Source organism: Homo sapiens, chromosome 13 (genome assembly GCF_000001405.40).
Source record: "Homo sapiens chromosome 13, GRCh38.p14 Primary Assembly".
NCBI classification, from domain to species: Eukaryota; Metazoa; Chordata; class Mammalia; order Primates; family Hominidae; genus Homo; species Homo sapiens.
The window spans coordinates 41960587-41983423 of NC_000013.11; the positions used below are offsets into that span (position 1 = coordinate 41960587).

A 22837-nucleotide genomic window follows, 5' to 3' on the forward strand; every position below is an offset into this window, starting at 1 on the left:
GAGAAATCACTCTTCTAGGTCATCAGAAACCTTAGTCCAGACCCCTCGGGTTGCAGAATCAGGCACAGAGAGGGCGAGCGCCTTGCCCCCACGTTACACAGCAGTTAGCGCCGAGGTCGGGACTAGAACCTCAATCTTTCAGCTCCCCGCTCGGCAAACGGTCCTTCCAAGCGCAGCGAAGCAACAGAGAGGAGGGGCGGGGGCGCGCGGGGACCCGGCACGGAGCGCAGGGGCACCAGGGAGGACAGGGGCGCACCCCGAGTTACCTGTGTCGGCCCCCGAGCCGGCGTGCAACAGTCTGACCTCCGGCCGCTGCCTGTCGCCACCCGGCCTGCGCTGCACCACCTGCCGCAGGAGCAGCCGCATGCGCCGCGAGGCCGGGCCGCCGTGGCCTCCGGGTGCCCCGAGGAGTAGAAGCCGGGATTGCATGGCGCCGGGGGGGCTGTCGGGGACGGCGAGGGGGCTCGGGGATCGAGCGGCGTCCCGTGCAGGCACCGTGAGGCAGCGCGGAGAAGGGGACAGGAAGCGGCACCTAGCCGAGTCCGCCGGAAACTCCTTCCCCCGCGGCGCGGCCGGCTCAGTAGACTCAGCCCGGCCCTACCCGGCCCTGCATGGCCCAGACGGGCGGAAAGAGCCTGCGGAGCTCCAGCCCAAAGAGCCGGCACCGTCCCGGGACTGCCCGCACCGCGGGGGTGCTCCGAGCTGCGGCGCTGGGCTCTGGCAAGCGCCTCGCAGTCCGTGAGACTGTCTGTTCACCTGGATGCACCAGGCCTTCACCCGCCGTTTCCCTGCGATCCCACAGAATCTCAGGAGTTCAGTAAATGCCAAGGGTTTTAGGAGCATTTGTCGGTGTGACTCTTCAGATGCTTGCCCCAAGTCTTCGTTTCTTAGTTAAAGGCCCAGTAAGTATAGGGAGCTTTCCCTGTATTCGGCTTCAGATTTCGGAAATGGAGAAAACATGCACAAGATGATGGGAACTTTCACAACTGTCTTGATTCATTGTAACCACACTAGTGTTTCCAAACCGTACGTGAAAGCTTTACCCTTTGTCCTTTTGGTGGTGGTTGTTTGTTTCTGTGTTTTATTACCGCTTCCTAAATTCTAAGGAAAAAATTCACATCTTAGTGATAGATGGAAATTGCTTAAATATCAGAAAGGATCCAGATCAAGCACTTTTCTAGTCATGCTGTAATACAAAAGTTATATAAAGATGATTTATGTCTTTAGTAAAGGAAAAAGTAGGACACTGGCTAAGGCTGCCTCCCTCTTGTACATTCCAACATCGGAAATGGTCCTACCACAAAGCAAACTAAGCCTAATGTAATTAGACTGCATCCCCAAAATGTCACAGTGAATTGACTAAGGCAAAATATTTGAGACAAGTTATACAAGCAAACATCAAAAAGAAGGCAGAAGACCTCACTTTCAGCTAAAGACCTTGCTAATTCTAGAGCTGCCACTGTCTAAATACATAGCACCTACCCTGCGCCTGACCCTGTGATGAGTGCTGAGAAGAGAGTGTTAGAGTGGAGACTGTAAAAGTCAAACAAGGCTAGGTAAGGAAGGCTTTGGGCATCCAGCGGAAGAACTTGAGGAATGAAGGCTGAACCAGGCTTCTAACCTAGATGAGGAGACAGTGAAAATAAAGGTAATAAGTAGTTACACAATATATTATGACTTCGTTTCATGTGTATCTTCTCATTTAATCCTCATAGCAACCCTAAGACATAAATTTAGGATGTAAGCTTATAAAATGCTTTTCCTACTTTGAGCACATTGTATGTATCAAGATTTTAATGAATTATCCCATTTCACATAAAAATGCTTTGAGGTACTATTATTATCCTCCGTTTTACAGATGAAGAAACTGAGGCTAGAAGAATTGAATACCTTGGTCAAGATATCTCCATTTAATCTCGCTGGAACTCAGTAGACACCTGAAAGAATGGGAGAACAACCTAAGGCAATTTTGCAAAGTGGTTGATATAAGCACTAAGAGCTCTTGGAGTTAAGACAATGGAGAGATCAACACAAGTTAGAGCATTCAACAACATTTTTTGCCTAGTTTTATTTTTTTTAGAGACAAAGTCTCACTCTGTTGCCCAGGCTGGGGTGCAGCGGCAGTATTATAGCTCATTGCAACCTCGAACTCCTGGGCTCGAGTGATCCTCCTGCTTCAGCCTCCCTAGTAGCTGAGACTACAGGCGTGCACCACTGTGCCTGGCTAATTTTTGTGTTTTTGTTTTCGTAGCAGTGGAGTCTTGTTATGTTGCCCAGGCTGGTCTCAAGCTCCTGGCCTCAAGTGATCCTCCTGCCTCAGCCTCCCAACGACAACATTTATTGAGTAACTGCTGTATAAACAGTACCCTGCTAGATACTGTGAATCAATGGGCTCACATTAGGTATTGATGATAAATATGCAAATAAAGAATTGCAATACAGTGAGACACGTGTCAAGAGATTTAGGTTCAACATACTGTGGAGTGGATTGCTGCACCTGGAGTCTTCACAGAGAAGGTAGTGTTTGAAATGATTCATGTAGGATATATTATACAAGAGTTTGTCAGGCTGAGACAAGTCAAATCTGGCAGACAGATCATGTACAGAGAGAGAGAGAAAGAAACAGCTGAAAGTGCAGGGCATGATTGAGAACCAGAGAGTGATTCAGTGTGTCTAGAGGTCAAGTATATACAACAGTTTGTAAGAATAAGACCAGAAAGAGAATCTGGGGCCATGTTGTATGCCAAGAGAAGGAGTTTGCACATTAACCTCCAGGAAATGGAAAAATGGTGAAGGTTTTTTAGAGTGACAAAGCTACAATGGGGAGGAAAACTTTGAGCCTGAGAAAAGGCAGCACCTGAGCTTAACTTTGAATGCCATTTAGGACTGGATACACAGAGAAGCGGGGTATAGAGCCTAAGTAGAGGCTTGGAGTCCTGACAGAGTTCAGTTACAGGGGCCATGAGACCAGCCAGATGAGGAGGTTAATCTTTCGAAAGTAGTAGAAGGTGTTGGCAGAGCAGGAGGAGAAGGTTACAGAGTGAAGAATCTTGAGTAGCTGGATGAAGTTGGACTTCATCCGATGAGCAAACTGGGCAGCTACTGGACTTTTTGATCGTGTTTTAGGTGGTGACATACTATGAATTGAATTAGGAAGACAGGAAGCATCAAGTGCTAGCTACGTGGCAGTAAAAATAGTCTCTACTTGAAATGATGAACAGTGCTGATGGCAATGAGACTGAATGGGAAAGAATGGACCTTCACAATGTTTTTAAAGAAGAACCAAAGGTGTTTTGTTTTAAAAGATGTTCATCACAATCTGTGTAAAGTCTCTCAAACTCTCACTAAAATATCTGATCACATGCTTATTAAAAAACAAGCTACCAGCCGGGCACAGTGGCTCAAACCTATAATCCCAGCACTTTGGGAGGCTGAGATGGGTGGATCACCTGAGGTCAGGAGTTGAGACCAGCCTGGCCAACATGGCAATACCCCATCTCTACTAAAAATACAAAAATTAGCCAGGCGTGATGGTGGGTGCCTGTAATCCCAGCTACTCGGGAGGCAGGGGCAGGAGAATCGCTTGAACCCGGGAAGCAGAGGTTGCAGTGAGCTGAGATCGCACCAGTGCATTCCAGCCCGGGCAACAGAGTGAGACTCTGTCTCAAAAAAAAAAAAAAAAAGAAAAAAGAAAATCACACTACCAAAAGCTAGTATTGACTGTCAAGCTCTTTCCAGAGTTTGGGAGGAATATTTTTTACATACCACATTAATGTAACTTGATGAAAAATGCAACTAATAATCCTTCCATGCTATGTCTGACTGAAAAAAGGTGGGTGCTCCACTCCTCCCTACTGTCTACCCCAGCTAAGAAATCAAAGGTTCATACCACTGGTTCCCAGACTTTTGTGTGCATCCTAATTACCTGGAGAACTTATTAAAATGCAGATTATAGGGTTTCGTTCCTCCCTGCACCCAGAGATTCTGAGTCAATAGGTCTGAAAGGGCCCAAGAATATTCATCTTTAGTAATACCTATAGGAGATCACCCATGTGCCACACATTTCAGTCATGAAGCTGTACAACTGTTCTTTATAGAGAGGGAGGGAAAAAGGAAAATCACAGCCAGGTGCAGTGGCTCACGCCTGTAATCCCAACACTTTGGGAGGCCGAGGCGGGCGGATCACCTGAGGTCAGGAGTTCGAGACCAGCCTAGCTAACATGGAGAAACCCCATTTCTACTAAAAATACAAAAAATTAGCTGGGTGCGGTGATGTGCACCTGTAATCCCAGCTACTCGGGAGGCTGAGGCAGGAGAATCGCTTGAACTCAGGAGGCAGAGATTGCAGTGACCTGAGATCGTGCCATTGCACTCCAACTTGGGCAACAAGAGTAAAACTCTGTTTCAAAACAAAAAACAAACAAAAAAACAAAAAAAACACAAAAGTCACTGGTTCTTTGGTACTCCAAGACTGACCTCTTATTGCTCTTTTTTCCATTTTTTTGAGACAGGATCTGGCTCTGTCACCCAGGCTGGAGTGCAGTGGCATGATTACAGCTCATTGCAGCCACTACCTCCTGGGCTCAAGCAATTCTCCCACCTCAGCCTCCCTAGTAGCTGGGACTACAGGCATGTACCACCATGCCTAGCTAATTTGTTTTTTTGTAGTGACAAGGTTTCACTATGTTTCCCAGGCTGGTCTTAAACTCCTGGGCTCAAGTGATCTCCCTGCCTCTGCCTCCCAAACTACTGGGATTACAGGCATGAGCCACCATTCCCAGCCTCTTTCATTTGATGTATGCCTGCTGCAGAGCTGGAGAAGACAGGTGGGAGACAGGGGCTAGGGGGACTGGTTTGGAGAGAGAGAAAGGGCTGACCAGATAGATGGGTATTTTTATTTTTATCCCTTTGATTACCAGTAAGGATAAACATTTTTTCATAAGTAATTTGTGTTTTTAGTTATTATTTATCTAATTCTCCTTTGTGTATTTTTAAAATATTTTTCTAACTAATTTTAAGAGCTTTCTGCATACTAAGAATATTGACACTTTCTAGTAGGTTGCCAACTTACATTACTTTTTCCCTCCACCACACTTAGGCAGCTCAAATCCATGTGAGCAAATAGATTTAAGTAAGGAAGAAATACGAAGAAGACTATGGGCTTTTGAACCAGGCAAATCTGGGCTTCAATCATACTTCATCACTTCTAGTTGTATGACATTAGCCAAATTGCTATCTTTTCTGCACCTCAATATTTTCATCTGTAAAACAGATATGGCTGGACTTGGTGGCTCACGCCTGTAATTCAGCACTTTGGGAGGCTGAGGCGGGTGGTCATGAGGTCAGGAGATCGAGACCATCCTGGCCAACATGGTGAAACCCCGTCTTTACCAAAAATACAAAAATTAGCTGGGCGTGATGGCACGTGCCTGTAATCCCAGCTACTCAGGAGGCTGAGGCAGGATAATCACTTGAACCAAGGAGTCGAGGTTGCAGTGAGCCAAGATCGCTCCACCACACTCCAGCCTGGCAACAGAGCCAAGACCCTGTCTCAAAAAAAAAAAAAAAAAAAAAAGATATGATAGTACTTAATAGAGTGTTGTGAGGCTTCAATAACAGATGTAAAGTGTCTAGCAAAACACCTGGCACACAGTAGGTATTCAGGAAATGTTAACAATTCGAGTAACCAATCTTTAGAAGTTAGGCAACTCCATAATTTAAAATATTTTGAATGGGCATTAAATGTAAATTCAGTGTTTGAGGCGTGTCTAGAAGCCTTGATTACTATGATAAGTATTTTTCATTACATATGAAGAAGTGTATAAAAGGGTACATTGGTATTCCATCCCTTTACCTCCAAAGGAGCAATGTCTATGTTTCGCTCTTTACTAGATATTCTGTCATATCTGCCTGCCAGACCACTCCTTCTGCTTCTCTGATGCAAGTTACACCTGCATCTTGCATACCAAGTGAGGCTGTCCATCACCTAACTCCACCTCACCAGGCACACAGGTTCGGCATGTGATTTGGCCTCATAGTGCTTGACCCGGCACCAATCAGAGAGCTTTGTCAGAGATGGATATAGGTGCAGGGACTCTTTCTAAGATTATGGATGCTTATAGCCTCACATAACTCCAGAACTGTCAGGGCCATCTTGGCTTTAATTCGAGAAGAGCTTGACTGAGACAAGAGAAAGGTGAAACAAATGATTGCAACCAAGGGAAACAAAATGTCCTGGTGATATACTTTGAACTGTGAATCACCCCAATCTGAAACATTGCTTTGGACATCATGAGTAAATAAATCCTGACTTAATGTATACAAGTAAGTTTGTCATAGCTTTCTGTTGCTCATAATTCCAAGAATTCTGGCTGATGCCATCTCTTACCCCTGAAACCTTGGTAGGAGTTGCTTTACTGGGAGATATGGGTATCCTTGGTATTGATCACTTCATAATGCCTCTCCATATATGTAAAAGTAAGGTGGGCTGTAGATTATAGCTGTAAGTTACATCAAGTTCCCAACTTATTAACAAACAAGAAAAAATATTGGTGGAAGCAAGGTGGCCACATATGTATATTTCCCTTGCCTCCTCACCAAGTCCTTAATGGGAACACATGCTTCCAGCACTACTGTCCACTCAAGGCACTGTCTTACCTAGCAAGGAAAGCTCAGTTCTTATAGCATTATAATTTGAATTACATAATTTTCAAGGCCTGTGTTATTATTTAGGAAGAAATATTTACAATATCAGGCTCTTTGGATCTTTGGCTTCACTCCTGCATCAGCAAAGGCCAACAAAGGAGAACAGAGTTGGCCTGAGTGTCTCTAGTTCATGCTCTCCACCATTCTGGGACCCATTTTCCCAGAGCCACCTTTTAATTCTGATATAATGCCTGTTATGTCAATTGTTCTAATACTGAGTTTGGTCTGAGGACACAACAGATCTATCTCACCACATATGAGTTTTCAAGAAGATAATTTAGAGGCTTTTTAGAAATTATTTTATTTTATTTTATTTATTTATTTATTATTATTATTATTTTTAGATGGAGTCTTACTCTGTCACCCAGGCTGGAATGCAGTGGCACAATCTTGGCTCACTACAACCTCTGCCTCCCAGGTTCAAGCAATTCTCCTGCCTCAGCCTCCCGAGTAGCTGGGACTACAGGTGTCTGCTACCACACCCAGCTAGTTTTTGTATTCTTAGTAGAGACGGGGCTTCACTATGTTGGCCAGGCTGATCTCAAACTCCTGACCTCAGGTGATCTGCCTGCCTTGGCCTCCCAAAGTGCTGGGATTACAGGAGTGAGCCACCACACCTGGCCTAGAAATTCCTTTGTTAAAAAAGAATGATCTATAAGATTCCATTAAAATTGTCAAGCCATAGTATATATAGTTAATTGATAAAAACTCATGTTCAAGTTTTCAATAAGCAGTCTATTTATTTTAGGAATTACTTTCCTTGATCCATGTATTTATCCTCAAAATAATTGTTAAAAAGGATCTGGTTATCGTAGAATATTAGCCTCTTATTTTATAGATGGAAACATGGCGTCTCCTATTTTATTACTCTGTAAGCTTGAGGAAATTCCCTTCACTCGGCACCCTTCAAAGTCCACAACTTCATGTAAGTATCACTTTCTTAAGTAGTTCAGGGATTATTGTACTATTATCCTTGCTGTTCCCTCTGCTTGAAATGGCTTTTCCTAATACTTCCATAACTGGTTCTTTCTCAGTGTCATGCCTCAGCATTTCGCTTGTCACAATCTATAAGTACTTCAGGTTTATCTTTTATTGTCTCTCCCATTCAGTGGAGCCTAAGCTTCAGAAGGATGGTCTGGCTGAGCACTATATCCAAAGTGCCTCACACACTGCCTGGCAGAGTAAGTACTCATTAAGTATTTCTTAAATGAATTTCTTTTTTTGTACATTCTTAAAAAATCTTGAGAAATAGCAAAGGGGGGTGATGACCGCCATTACTCCCACCAATACCATCTTTCGTAACACAAATCATAGATAATGAGGTTGATGGATAATACAAAGACAGTTATGCTGTTACATTTGGTTATTGTCATCACAGCTAACTTTGGTATGTTTAATATATAAGATAATTGTTTTTATATTTTTAAAAAATTATGGTACAATATATACAATATAAAAATTACTACCTTAACCATTTTCAAATGTACAGTTTAGTGGCATTAAGTGCTGACACATTGTTGTGCTACCATCACTACCCTCCAACCAGAGAACTCTTTTCATCTTGCAAAACAGAAACTCTGTGCCTATTAAATAATAATTCCTCATTCACCCCACTCCCAGCCCCTGCCCACCACCATTCTACACTTTGTCTCTACAAATTTGATTACTCTGATTACTCAAATATATTAGGGCTCTCCAGAGAAACAGGGTTTCTCCAGAGTCAGGGCTCTCCAGAGAAACAGAATCAACAGAATGTGATTTCAGAGAGAGAGAGAGACTTAGAAAGTATTGGCTCACACAGTTATGGAGACTGACAAGTTCTGAGATCTGCACTTGACAAACTGGAGACCCAAGAAAGCCAATGGTATAAGTTCCAGTCTGAAAGCCAGCAGGTTCCAGACCCCTTCAAATCTGAAGGCAGGAATAATGTGCTGCCCCAGCTGAAGCAGCCAGGCAGGAGAAGCTTCCTCTTACTGGAGGGAGAGTCAGCCTTTCTGTTCTATTCAGGCCTTCAGCTGAGTGGATGAGGCCCACCCACATTAGGAAGGGCCATCTGCTTTACTCAGTCTACGGATTCACATGTTAATCGCATCCAAAAACATCCGCACAGGCATACCTAGAATAACATTTGACCAAATATCTGGGTGCCCCGTAGCCCAGTCAACTTGACACATAAAATTGACCATAACATCATATAAATTAAATCATACAGTATTTGTCCTTTTGTGACTGGCTTATTTCACTTAACATAGTGTCCTCAAGATTCTTCCATGTTGTAGCACATGTCAGAATTTCCTTCCTTTTTAAGGCTGAATAATATTTCATTTATGTGTATACTGCAATTTGTTTATCCATTCATATGTTGATGGACACTTGGGTTACAAACATTTTGGCTATTGTGAATAATGCTGCTATGAACATGGGTGTACAAGTATCTCTTTTAGTTTCTGCTTTTAATTCTTTTGGGTACATACCCAGAAGTAGAATTGCTGTATCATATGGTAATACTATGTTTAATTGTTTTAGGAACACACCATACTGTTTTTCATAGCAGCTGCACCATTTTACTTTCCTACCATCAGCGTGTGAGGGTTCTAATTTCTCCACATCCTCACCAACATTTGTTATTTTCTGTTTTTTTTTTTAATCGCAGACTTTCCTAATGCATGTGAGGTGGTTATTAGTTTCTCTTGCACTTAAATGTTAGTCATTTTCTGTCACTTTCTGTCCATTTTTGTCATGTACTAGGCTTGTCACTTACTTTATGACTATAGATCCAGGTGTTAGGGATGATGCTTGATACAGTAGGTAACTAGTTAGTACTAATTAGTGGTAATTTTCAAAACACAATATGGTAAATAGAGATTAGAGAAGAAATAGGAAGTGGTAGGCCTGGGGAAAACAGGCCAAAATAGGTGGCAAAGAGGAAATAGTCATGGTTGTGGGCAGTATGCTACAAAGAGATCTTTTTCTTAGAACCAAATGGTTATAATAAAGTCATTTATATTTTTAGTTGAGAGTGGGAAGCAAGAGGGAGGAAAACAAAGAGTGTAGTTCCTCATTATCTAATATGACTTCATGCCAAACACAGTGACCATCACTGGAGAAATAGAAATGTTAGCAAATGTATCTAGTATTAAAATGTAAATCTACCTCTGAGAACACAGATGACCCTTAACTCTTTTTCTAAACTACTGATTCTACACACACTCAACCTTTATAGCCTTTTCTCTATTACACAAGGGACCCTAAAATTTAATGGTAAATGATTTTCTAAATTCGTCATTGTGAACTATTTGTGTTATGACCAAATTGTGTGTGATATCTGTTTTCTTTCAAACTACTGAAACATGTTAAGTAAATCATTCTTTGGGCATCATGCATTGTGATTATTCATAAAGAAGGATTACTTTGTTTACGAGCATTTACCAAATCTTTAGTCAGAATATACAGAGGCCTCCAGGAGCCTAGATTAGATATAGGGAAGGGAAAACATGTATTGGTGCTCACAGTAACTAGGAAAAGGGTCCTAGACAACATATGATTGAATTTAAGGAAATTGTTCCATACGATATTATTGAGTGCCTGCTATATGCCCTGTACTGCACTATTCACTGGGAAACCATAGTAAATAAGACAGTTTCCTATGGAACTTGGGACCTATTTAGTCTGTTTTATATTTAGAAGTTTGAGTTTGCCCTATTGGTCAGTGGTTTTCAAACTCTGTTTGAAGCCTGTCATATAATCAATAATTTGTCTGGTCTTTGTCCTGGGTTCCTGGCACAAATAGGAGTCTCTTTATTATTCATGAGCCTTTGCGAACACTCTTCAGTTTGTGCTAATGAGGTGATTCATGGTGGAACCTAGATAGCTTCAGGATGGATGCTGATCATTCCAGAAAGATCAACTATGTGATTAAAGAGTTGAGGCTTTGAACCATATGATAGCAGCCCAGCCTCCTGACCGTCAGGAAGTGGAGGGGGATTGGAAATGGATCTCACTCATGTGGCCAAAACCCCAAAAAACTCTGGATGCCAAAGCTCAGTGGAACTTCCTGGTTGATGAACACCTCAACACACCAGAATGCAGAGTGGCAGAGAGTGTAGAATCTCTACATTTGGAACCCTCCAAGATGTCACCCTATGCGTCTCTACATTTGGCTGTTCCTGCCTAGTACCCTTTATAATAAAGCTGTTATTGTAAATATAGCACTTTCCTGAGTTATGTGAGACATTTTAGTGAATTATTGTGAGACCCATCCCCCTCTGGATTTGTAAACAGTCTGAAGTGAGGGCTGTTTTGCTTTGGACCAATGCCCTTTAACTGGTGGGGTCTGTACTAACTCCAGATTGTTAGTGCCAGAATTGGAATGCACTATACCAGCTGATGTCAGAATAGAACCCCTTCTTCAGTGGCTGCAAAGGAGGGGATTGGGAAAAAAGTTTCATACTAGTTGTAAATTCTGTTCTCCATAATGGCCTCCTGGGTACCCTTTGTTGAGTGATTACTAAGTATCAGAGCAGTTATTTCTGTTTTACAAATGGGAACACCTAGGCTTACAGGACATAAATAACTTCCCCATATTTACATGTAAAGTAACTAGGGACTTGATTGTTGTGAAGAGAAGGTTAAATTCAAGAGCCATTTTGGAATAATTATCAAGTGGCTAATTACACGTGAAAATCAAAAGAGAAAGACATCCAAAGCTAACGTAAGATTGTGACAAAGGAAACCAGATTTTAGAGATATCGGTAACCACAAAAGACAAGGGATGCCATTTTGAGAAAAAGTGGTGACTTTACGTAAAAAGAAAACAAAAACATTTGAAGTTTAAAATGTGAGTGGAAAAGCAGGAGTAAGAAAAGAAGTATAATCCAGCAAGGTTAGCTTGATGTTAGTGAAAGCCTTTGTTTCCTTAGTTTTATTGTTTTAATGCCAATAAAATGTGGATAACGACATGTAGCTCAGACAACTAGCAATCATAAGGATTCCAAGCTAGCTGCCCGGCATCATCTTCAACATATTTCACGTTCCTCACAAACAACGACTCCCTTTCCTTCTCCTTAGTATGCACTGTTAGAGCAGGAAGAAAATATGATCTGTGACCCAAAATAGAGACTCAACTATACCTGCCTGTTCAAAATCTACACGACTTATTAAGACCCTTTCACAAATCCAGTGAAATCCCAAAAATACAGCAGAAATGCCATGATGTGTTTCATACTCCCTAGCTAAAAGTTGAGGGTTGCTGGAAAATCACAACCCATAACCACTGCAGAATAAAATTCAGTGCATATTAGAACATTGCAAACAATTTTTGTATGTATATTTAATATTTATACACAGATAGACATTAAAATGAAATTATAAAATAAATAAAATAAAAATATATTTCTATTTAAAACATAGGTGCAGGTTTCTCCCTCACATGACTGTGCACAAGAACACTGAATAACTGCGTTGGTCAAGTTTTATAATGAGGGTTCACTTAGGCACTGAAGGTTGTCTATTATCCCTGGTGCCTGACCATTAAATGCTAGGAATGGCACCCTGTCATTGTGAGACCCCCCACCACCAGATTTCCCAACTTCACCCTAGCCCCTGGTACTATTCCACCTGAGAGCTTTTGCCCCAGAGCCTCCTTGCTGGGTACAGAGAGGATGTTTGGGGCAAAGAACAAAAGTCTCCTTATTTATCTGGGCACAATATGATTCTTTCCCTTCCCAGTTACTTGTCACAATTTCTATTAGATTGGTACAAATGTAATTGAGGTTTTTGCTATTTATTGAAAGTAATGACAAAACTGCAATTACTTTTGCACCAACCTAACAGCTACATTATAGTCCTCACTACTCTCTGTGTGGCCACTGTGCAAATGTGAGCTCCACAAGGGCTGTAGGCCCAAGTTTGTCAGAGACCCTTCTCTGCGCAGTTTCCTGAGTGGACCACCCAGTTCTTGCTGGCCCTCTTTTTGCTGCCCTGCTCCTGCCTCCTGTGGCACATCCCACAGCCTTTGCTGCTGGGGTTGCCCTCCGGGGGGAACAGCTGCAGGACTCTAGTTTGCCTGCAGGCAACACAACATGCCCCTGACTAACAGGGAACTCCAGCACCTTGCCGAGCTTGGGGAAATGGCTGTGCCACTGCTAGACCCAACCCCTGTGCTTCCCTTGGGACCGTCCCCCTTGACTTGGCTTTGGGGATGAGAGGGACAGCATGCATGAGAAAAATGTCTTTTCTCTCCTCTTGAGACCTACAATCAAAGTAATGGCACGTTTCCTCTCTCGCCTCCCCAGCACCTTTCCTTATACACTACGGAGTTTTAGATGGGGTGCCTGCTAGTGGTAGGAAGGCAATTCTGCCTGATTTACTAAACTCTGGGGAAGGTGCCCAGTCCCGAATATTGGCAGGACTCTTTAGAATGCAAAGTCATTGTGCCTCTCTGTCCTTAGCACTGGGTCCTATTTTCCACTTCCAGGGAGAAAGGAAAAACTCCTTCTTCATGTCTTGTTACTCTACATAGTCAGTTCCCTTGGGGAGGGTACTGAGAGTCTGGGTTGGGAGGCAAACAAATATTTTCACTGTATTCTCTTGTAGTGTTTGACTTTGTATCATGTGCATTTATTACTTTATTCAATTAAGAGTTGTCTATTTTTAAAAGGGAGGAGGAATAAGTTAGTTTGTGTGCATTGACTTAAAATGATGTACATGAAGTATTGTTAAGTTAGCAAAACAAGCTGGAGAGTAATGAACATAATAGTAATCATAGCAATCACAATAGGCATAATAGTAAAAGGAAAATGAATGCGCAGTTCCAGCTACATACTTTTTTTTTTTTTTTGAGACGGAGTCTTGCCCTGTCGCCCAGGCTGGAGTGCAGAGCGATCTCGGCTCACTGCAACCTCCGCCTCCCAGGTTAAAGTGATTCTCCTTCCTTAGCCTCCCAAGTAGCTGAGACTACAGGTGTGTGCCACCACAAATACAAAATACAAAAAATACAAATTTTTTGTAGTTTTAGTAGAGATGGGGTTTCACCATGTTAGCCAGCATGGTCTAGATCTCCTGACCTAGTGATCTGCCCATCTTGGCCTCCCAAAGTGCTGGGATTATAGGCGTGACCCACCGCACCCAGCCCCAGCTATGTACTTTTGTTGGTATGTGTTGTGTAAGTGTGAAGAAAGGTGTGGAGGGTCACATACCAGTCTGTTAACATGGTTACCTTGGAGGGATAATGATGGGGTAAGGGAAAAACTTTTATTTCCTTTGGTATTACTTTAAGATACAAAAAAATCACATGCTTGTAACAAATGCGCGTTCAAACAAGCATGTATTATTTCTGTAACTTAGGAAGGGAAGGGAGCAAAGGTAGACGAGAACAAAGAATGTGTTACGCCACCATGCCCACAACCACAGCCCCAATCAACTAATCAACAAAACAAACTCGCAGCTCTCATATACAGGTTTGCCTGACATGCTGAGGCAGGGTTTTTGACTCCCTTCCGTTCATTCTGAAGTTCGGATTTCAGAAATAGATAACACACTGGCATTGGCCACAGTCTCTCAGGACCAGCTCACGAAGTCTTTCAGGACAAAGGTTTTGTCTTAACGCTCAAAGATCTGCAGGACCCTGTATGGTAGAAGAAACATATCATTGTATTTGTAAGTAAAACAAACAAAACATAATTTAAATGTGCATCGATGGTTAAGGAATTTAGCCTTACCCATATCTATTCAATCCTTTCATGAGAGCAAAATAAGATTGAGAGTAAAAAGCATAAAAGAGCTGGGGCCCCCAAGGCAGGGTGGTTATGGGAGGCAACCAGGCATAAGGGAGGGGGTGCTGGGAGCCCCCTTCATAGCCTTCCCCAAGGTGACCAGGCCTGGGCTTCCCTGAGTAGCAATTCGGCCCGAGTGTTTTCCTTCCCTCTGTAACAATGCACGGTGCACCCCTTAAAAATGCGTAATAGCTGCCGGGCGTGGTGGCTCACTCCTGTAATCCCAGCACTTTGGGAGGCCGAGGCAGGCAGATCATGAGGTCAGGAGATAGAGACCATCCTGGCCAACATGGTGAAACCCTGTCTCTACTAAAATACAAAAATTAACTGGGTGTGGTGGCGCGTGCCTGCAATCCCAGCTACTCGGGAGGCTGAGACAGGAGAATCACTTGAACCCAGGAGGCGGAGGTTGCAGTGAGCCGAGATCAGGCCACTGCACTCCAGCCTGGCGACAGAGTGAGGCTCAGTCTCAAAAACAAGAAAAAAAAAGGAAAAAAGAAAAAAAAAATGCCTAATAGCACAAACCTTATTGCTCAACTTAAGGTGGAAAAAAAATTATGCATATCAGATAGGCAATGTTTTTTTTAAAAACAACAACCAAAAAAACCCCTTGATAATGAAGATAAGAATGGAGTAAGAGAGTAAGAAATCAGAAATAAGAATGGAGTAGGAGAATCCTCTTATATATTCCTGTGGGTGTGTAAAGTGGTACAGTTATTCTGGGATGCAATATGACAACATGTCAGGGAACTAGAAACATTTTATACCCCTCTAGGACTCTAGCTTGAGGAAATAAACAGAGATGTTATCAAAGATTTGGTATGAGTATGTTTTGTGCAGTATTATTAATAATACTGAAATATTGAAAACTATTCAATAAGAATGGCTAACTAAATTATAATTATAATTTATGCAGTTGTAAAATCTTTGTAACATAATATTTAAAAGGCTAGGAAACAAAACTATATATCCAACATGATTCTAATTTGTAACAATTATATAGTAAATATACAAAACTATAGAGTACATTTGAATGATTCAAAAATAATTATAAATTTTCGTTTATCCTTTCTATGTTTCAAAAATTTCTATTATAAACATATGTTCATCTTAGTATTGGGAGAAGTAAAATGAAGGGAAAAAACATTAGCTTAGTCCTCCACAGAGAGAATTAATTCTCCTTGACACATTTAAATCCATAAATTTAGAACAACCTATTTCTGACTAATGTCACGTAATTGAACGGTCCATTTCTGAATTCATAGATTTCCCTGTGGTCCTGAAATATGTACCTATTTAGCTACTATGGAGCCATTACTCCCAGGAAAAAAGAAATCCCCAAAATAAAAATAAAATCTTTTTTTTTCTCACTTTTTTTTTTTAAGAGAAACTTCTCTATACATACAGGAATTTGACAACAGTTTGTGCCACTTATGGATTTAAAGAACTGGCACCTTGAATGGGATTCTGAATAGAATTCGTACAGATGGAATGTAAATATCACCCTGAACTGAATTGGCCCTCATCCTGTCCAGCCAATCTGGAAATGTCTGGTAAGCTGTTTATTACACGAGTCTAGAGCTCAGGAGAAGGTGTGGGCTGAGATGCAAATACGAGTATCATTAGCATATGCATGGCAGCTGAAACCATGGGAGCAACCTCTATCTAAATCACTGATTCTCAACTGGAAGTGATTTTGTCCCCCAGGGAGCAGCTGGCAATGTCTGAAGGGAGACATTTTATATTTTTATAACTGGGGGTAGGGTACTACCTGCATGTACTGGGCTGAGGCCAGGGCTGCTGCTAAACATTCTGCAATGCACAAGACAACCCCTTGCAACAAAGAATGATCTGGCGCAAAATGTCAATAGTGCCTAAATCGCATAGTCCTACTCTAAATGATTCACAGATAACTTAAACTCAAAACTGAACTCATCCTTTTTTCCTTTAAAATTTGTTTCTCCTCTTATGTCCCTACCCCAGTCATAGTAAGTCTTTTTAATGTTAACCAAATTAGAAACCACAGGTCCTCCTTAAACTTTCTCATAGCTTTACTTCTCTCATATCCAAATGAGAACCAAATCCCAATAAATTGACCTCTGTCTCACTCTCTCTCTTTTTTTTTTTTTTTTAAAGAGGGAGAGACAGGGTCTCACTCTGCCACCCAGTCTCACTGCTCCCTCAAACTCTTGGGTTTAAGAGATTCTCCTGCATCACTGGAATTACAAGAGTGAGCCACCGCTTATCCATCTAATCCCTTCCCTCATCTCAAGCTCTTTCTGCCATTGCCCTGTTTCAGGCCTAAATCATAACTTGTTGGTTTGCTGCAGGAACTTCCTAATAATTTTCTTTCTCCAATATTGTCACCGTCTAATCTCCTCCCCATCATTTCCAGGAAGATCTTTCTAAAATGCAAATCTAACTATGTCACTTCATTATATAAAATCTTTGACTGATTTTCCTTTACTCTCAAGATTAATTCAAAACTCTTTACTAATCTAAGCCCCTTATGATCCGGCCTTCTCCCACCACTCGCTGCTATACTATCAACAATCTTCTCTTGAAGTTCTGTCTCCCTCAGTAGACTATGGGCACCCTGAGGGCAGGATCAGTGTCTTTTATCTCTGGACCACACCCCCTCCCCATCTACCCCAGCAGCTAGCAAAATTCCAAATTCGTTTTGTTGAACTAATGAAGGAGACACTCTGACCTCCTCAGTGTGTGATCACTCTGCAGTGTGTAGGAGTGAGAACAGAGAACCTAGGACAGAATCCTGAAGAGCACATGTTAGGATAGGCAGATGAACTCAGGAGACTAGAAAGCAGTGAGAGATGCAGAACCCAGGAGATCACAGTGTCAACAAAGCTGAGAGTCAAGTAGATCATCTTCAGGAAAACAGAGCCATCAAACACCTCAAACAGAAGTCAGCTAAGATGAAAACTAAAAATAGTACAACATATCAGAAAACATGGTAGCTGGTTGCAGCCTTGAATAGAGTCATTTTAATGTTCTGTGGGCCTCTAGTCAAGTACTTGGTGCTGGATTTGGGGTCATTACTTGTCAGTAGGACCAGCAGTCGGGAAGATTAGCTGGACACAGAACAGGAGAATGAGAACAAAGTGAAACTTGCTAGTTACTACAGCATGTGTGACCACAGCCTTTCAAGAGTAATGGCTTCTGCTTTATTTCTGCTTTCCAGATCTCAGGCAAGGTTTTCTTTTGGTCAACTCTAACTTAGAACCAAGGGGAAAAGGATTCCAGAAAATGTAGCCTCCAAAAGGAGTGGGGGTCCCAAATTGACCAGACACAATTCAGCATACATCCCCTTGCTTAAAATTTTTAAGAAATGAAAATACTTGTTTATATTTACCCACATGTTTACCATTCTCAGTGTGTACCATTCCATCCTATAGATCTGAATTTCCATCTGGCAATATTTTCCTTCAGCATGAAGAACTTCATTTAGCATTTCTGATAGTGCAAGTCTGCTGGCAATGACTCTCAATTCTTATATAGCTGAAATGTTTTAATCTCTTCTTCCTTTCTGAAGGACATTTTCAGTGAATGGAGAATTCTAGTTGAATTTTTTTTCTTTTAGCCCTTTAAAGGGTGTCATCCTACTATATTCTGGAATCCATTTATTCTTATAATTGTGTGTGTATGTGTGTGTAAGAGAGATAATGTCTTTTTTCTTTTAGCTGCTTTTAAGATTGTTCTCTTTATCTTTGGTTTTCAGAAGTTTGGCCATAATGTTAGTAGGTATGTTTTTCTTTGTATTTGTTCTGCTTAGAGTTTGCTGAAATTCCTGATCTGTGGATTGTTTTATTAAAAAATCAAATGTGGAAAATTTTTGGTATGTGAATATAAATATATACATACATATACATGTCTCCTATTCATTATTCTAATTCCAGCCCAATATTCTTTTCCTTAGGGAAGTTGTTCATGACTTTTCTAAGTCAATTTCCCAGTTATTTTATAGGAGCATCTATTTCTCCTTTATAGCATTAAGCACCACATCAATTTCACATTTGTTTTTGTGATTATTTGATTAATGTCTGTCTTTCCACTAAAGTCTAAAGTATGAACTCCATGAGGGTAGGGACTACATTCTTGTAGTTGTATTACACTACATTCCCAGGACTGACCACAGTGACTGGTGCATAGTAAGAACTCAGTAAATATTTGTTGAATGAGTGAATGCCTGAATAAAATAAATAAGATAATACTGATTTGCAGTAAGCCATTAGCAAATCTTAACTATTATTTATAACGAAAATTTGCAAATTCAATTACCTTAAAATTGCTTTTTTATACCATGGAACTATTATTCCTCAGATGCTTTGGAAAATGCAGGTAGAGACTACGTTTTGAGGATTTTGGCTGTGGAATAAAAGAGGCAGGGAGTAGCTAGACAAGGATTCAGGTCAATGAAGCGTTTTGCTTTTGATGGAAAAGGCTTGGGGTGTCATGACAGGGCAGCTCAGAAATATCTCACCAAATTATTTCCTTTTTACATTAATTTTTTTTTGTAATAAATTACACATTATAACACCTTAAAGGCAATGCACAGTCTCTTAAAGTTCCATTGGCTTGAGGAATGTTATGAGAGTTTCTGTCAAAATCCTCCCCTTAGGTGGATGAGTAATTGACCCTAATCATCAGGAGGAGTCAGAGTTTCTGCTACACGTTGGGGGCCGCGTAGAATATGTTTGGCGCAGGGATAATCCATGGGAGCATCTCTTGTTTCTCAGTTGCTCAGTTTTAATGGTAAATCAACAACTACAGAAGCTGCAGGATCATGGTAGCCAAGGGCTCCAACCCTACAGGAAAGAGCTTCTGGGTCATTGTACTAGACAAGCATAGGTCCTAGCTGAGGTTAAAGGGAATCGAAAAAAATGGGTAAAGGAAGAGGTGGATATTGAGTATCAGTTACAGCCTCTAATCAACTGCAGCAGTACGGGCTAAATTGAGTTCTTCCCAGTTACCTTCTCTTATAAGTTCCACAGGAGGCTGGGCACAGTGGCTCACACCTGTGATCCTATCACTGTGGGAGGCCAAGGCGGGTGAATCACCTGAGGTCAGGAGTTCAACACTAGCCTGGGCAACAAGGTGAAACCCTCTGTCTACTAAAAATACAAAAATTAGCCATGCGTGGTGATGGGGGCCTGTAATCCCATCTACTCGAGAGGCTGAGGCAGGAGAATCGCTTGAACCCGGTAGGTGGAGGTTGCAGCAAGCCGAGATCATGCCACTGCACTCCAGCCTGGGTGACAGAGCAAGACTCCACCTCAAAAAGAAAAAAAAAAAAACAAGTTCCACAGGAAACAAGACCAACCAGAATACTGCAGATGAAGTAAACTTACTATGAAAAGGCATGTGGATATGACAGGTGCAGAGCTGACTGTGGTAGATTCTGTAGTATTCTGCTCAGGTAGCCTCTTCAGGTCCTAAACACCCATACCTCAGATGCAGGGAATATCAACTGCTGATGGCTCAGAGCTGTGTCCCTCATGGGAAAATGCCCTTCACCACAGGGAACTGTCCCTCTTCTGGAGAACACCCTGCAGCAATGACTGGCTCCTGCAAGGATACAAAGGCCCAGCCAGCTTGCCTCAATAGGGGACAATGCTGGAAGGCCATCCTCAAGATTTGGCCACAGGACTACTTGGGCCCTTGGCCTCTCTCTCTCTGTGCTCAGTCTGTCTTCTTTCCTTCCTTTCTTACAGGTTTGTCTCCTGGGAGCACTCCCCAAAGAACCTTCTACACACAGTTCTCCAACTCAAAGTCTGTTTTCAGGGAATCCAATTCAAGACAGGGATAGTTGGAAGTCACAACCGTTCCATGGACTTTGATGTTCTTGATATTCATTCTTGGTATTGGCATTATGAGTTGTGACACTAGGAGGAGTCTCCAAGTGACTTTGAAATGAGAAGACAGGAACAAAGAGGTGTCATACATCCCTCACAGATGGTCAGAAATATCTAAAGAGTTTTTGCCAAAGAGATAGGGTCCTGAATGGGCAGCAGGGTTAAGAGAAAAATGTGTAGTTATTAATGTTAATGAGACATCCTTTGCTACAAGATGATGGTGAGGTCTCAAGGAGATCTAGGTTATATTTACAAGGGATCACTCCAATTACTACATGTCCGTCTTTTCTAAAATTAGACTTTATTGTGCTCTATTAAAATAGCTTTATCTTTAGAAGAGAGTTTCTCAAAATGTGATTTGGGGACCACCTGCATCAGGAACACCTGAGAATTTGTTAAAGTTGCAGATTCTAGAGCCCCATCTCATGCTTACTGAACCAGAATCTCTGGGAATCTGCATGTTTATTTAACAAGTTTTTCAAAGCTTGCATGTTTAGCCAGCTTTTAAAGTAAAAGTTTTCAACTGCTTTAGTTGGTAAAGGGTTTCTTTTGCAGATGATGAAAATCTTCTGGAATTGGATAGAGGTGATGGCTTCACAACATTGTGAATATATTAAAAACCACTGAAATGATTTCAGTTAAAATGGTCAATTTTATGTTTTTTGAATTTATCTCAATTAAAAAAATAAAACTAGAGGGACAGAAATTACATCGCCAGAGGCTGCAGCTAGGAGGAGGGAATGGAATGCAAAAGATCACAAGGTAATTTGGGGGGCTTGAGGAAAATGTTTTAAATATTGATTGTGATGGTGGTTACACATACAATGGCCAATCTCATGGAACTATATAACCCAAAAGGTAAATTTTACTACATAGAAGTTATTTCTCAGTAAACCTGGCTATAAATAAACACATAAATAAATAACCTCCAAGAGATTCTTAGAAACCCTAAAGCTTAAGAACTACTGCTTTTAAGTCGTGGTCTCCAAAATGAGGACTCACTTCTCCAGGGTTCTGGAAGACAAGCCGCTGGGGTACAGGAAGAATATAATTGAAATCCTATTTATATTTTTAAAAATGTTAACATGAGAAAGAAATGACATTTTCCTAACATTTGGAAATCCACTTGGAAGGCTTGACTCATATTTATATATAGAATGACATTGTTGCCCCCATCCCATCTGTGTCATGTCAGGTACACAAGATGTCCTGGGGGAAGACTGAGCATTGCATAATGACCTTGTTGACCTCTGTGATCTCATTCATTCACTTGCTTGTAGCATAATGCCACATACTGCAGTTTACAGGGATTTATGACTTATAATGTCTAGTTTTAAATAAACTAATCCTCAAACCAAAAACAAATGATTTTTAAATATCTCTGCAAAGCAGCTCCTGATTGAAGACGATACCAATAATGCAAGCCAAGGGAATATGAAATGGTAAGAACTGACTTTCTAGTAAGAGCTCTGCGATCAGCCACATTATGAGGAGAAACAATAATAATCCAATTAGATCTGAACAGAAGTCAGCTAATGAGTGAGCAATTGATTAATTACTCTTCAAAAGAAACTGAGTTATGAAGAGAACATTTTAAAAACAGAGATTTGGCAGTGCTCCCATTGTTAAGTGATTTTGTTGCCTAATCAATGTAAACATGACACATACTAAAACCGTCATATCTCCATAACTAAAGAACTTGGGAAAAAGACTTTTTTTCTAACTAATTTTAAAATCTTCCAAATGAAGAGTTTCTGTGGATTTTGATCCATTTGTTAAAAATTGTAAAATACAATGCCTTCCAATTAATTTGCGAGGACCTCTCATTGACATCAGGGAAAGCAGAAATTGACCATCTGGGTTTCAACAAAAACTTCTGCATAATCAATGTATGTGATAGAAACCTGAGTACTGTTATTTAGTGCCACCAATGATGCACTTCCATTTAATTCTGCATGTCTTTGTACTTTACCATTAAAACAAAGTGTAGTCATAAATCAAATTAGAAATAGACACTTAGATCAATGTATCACAAAATGTCAAGCCAAAGTATCGTAAAATAATGCAGCACATTTGATCTCATTGCTTTCACTAAAAAAGTTACTGCAGTGGTTTAATGTAGTCATTCTTTGATATTCATTTTTAGTTTCTTCTTTCTTTTCTCTCCTCCCACTTCATTTCTCTAGCTCTTGCAGCTTTAGTTGCCATCTCTAAAGACCTCCAAGTTCAAGTTCTTTGCTCTTAGTCTTGTATTTCCAACTCTTGAATTAGCAGCTCTATCTGGTTCTTCTACAGGTCTTTCAAACATGGTATGTTCAAAACAGCATGGTCTCCCTCTTCTCTACCCCTGTTCTCCTTGGTTAGTGTTCCTTATCCGGGTTAGTGGCGCCACCTTTTACTGTGATTCAAAACATCTGCATTTTTCTTCTCATCTGTCTCTTCTCACAACTCACTGCCAACTGCCAAGGCTTCATCCTTCTACCTTCCTGG

At 41.2% G+C, this 22837-nt stretch overlaps 1 protein-coding gene and 2 long non-coding RNA genes across 4 annotated transcripts in view, besides 1 other annotated feature; 1 reads left to right on the forward strand and 2 right to left on the reverse strand.

Annotated features, from left to right (window-relative positions):
- Positions 1-523, reverse strand: part of VWA8 (von Willebrand factor A domain containing 8) — a 394275-nt gene extending 393752 nt beyond the window's left edge. For both annotated transcript variants that reach the window (NM_015058.2, NM_001009814.2), the window contains exon 1: positions 267-523. In NM_015058.2, coding sequence (NP_055873.1) covers positions 267-429 — 163 coding nt within the window. In that variant the 5' untranslated portion in view covers positions 430-523. The remainder of the gene's footprint in view (positions 1-266) is intronic.
- Positions 193-602: a silencer, noted in NCBI's record as "silent region_5293". NCBI's record gives its function as "represses an Ori minimal core promoter by ATAC-STARR-seq in GM12878 lymphoblastoid cells {active_cell/tissue: GM12878}" and the evidence as "EXISTENCE:reporter gene assay evidence [ECO:0000049][PMID:35858748]".
- VWA8-AS1 (VWA8 antisense RNA 1) lies at positions 583-20979 on the forward strand. Its single transcript, NR_039974.1, has 4 exons — positions 583-1648; positions 7815-7886; positions 15863-16030; positions 20207-20979. It is a non-coding gene; the product is annotated as a VWA8 antisense RNA 1 (long non-coding RNA).
- Positions 14253-22837, reverse strand: part of LOC105370176 (uncharacterized) — a 39040-nt gene continuing 30455 nt past the window's right edge. The window contains exon 3 of the long non-coding RNA XR_941905.3: positions 14253-14329. This is a non-coding gene — a long non-coding RNA (uncharacterized LOC105370176). The remainder of the gene's footprint in view (positions 14330-22837) is intronic.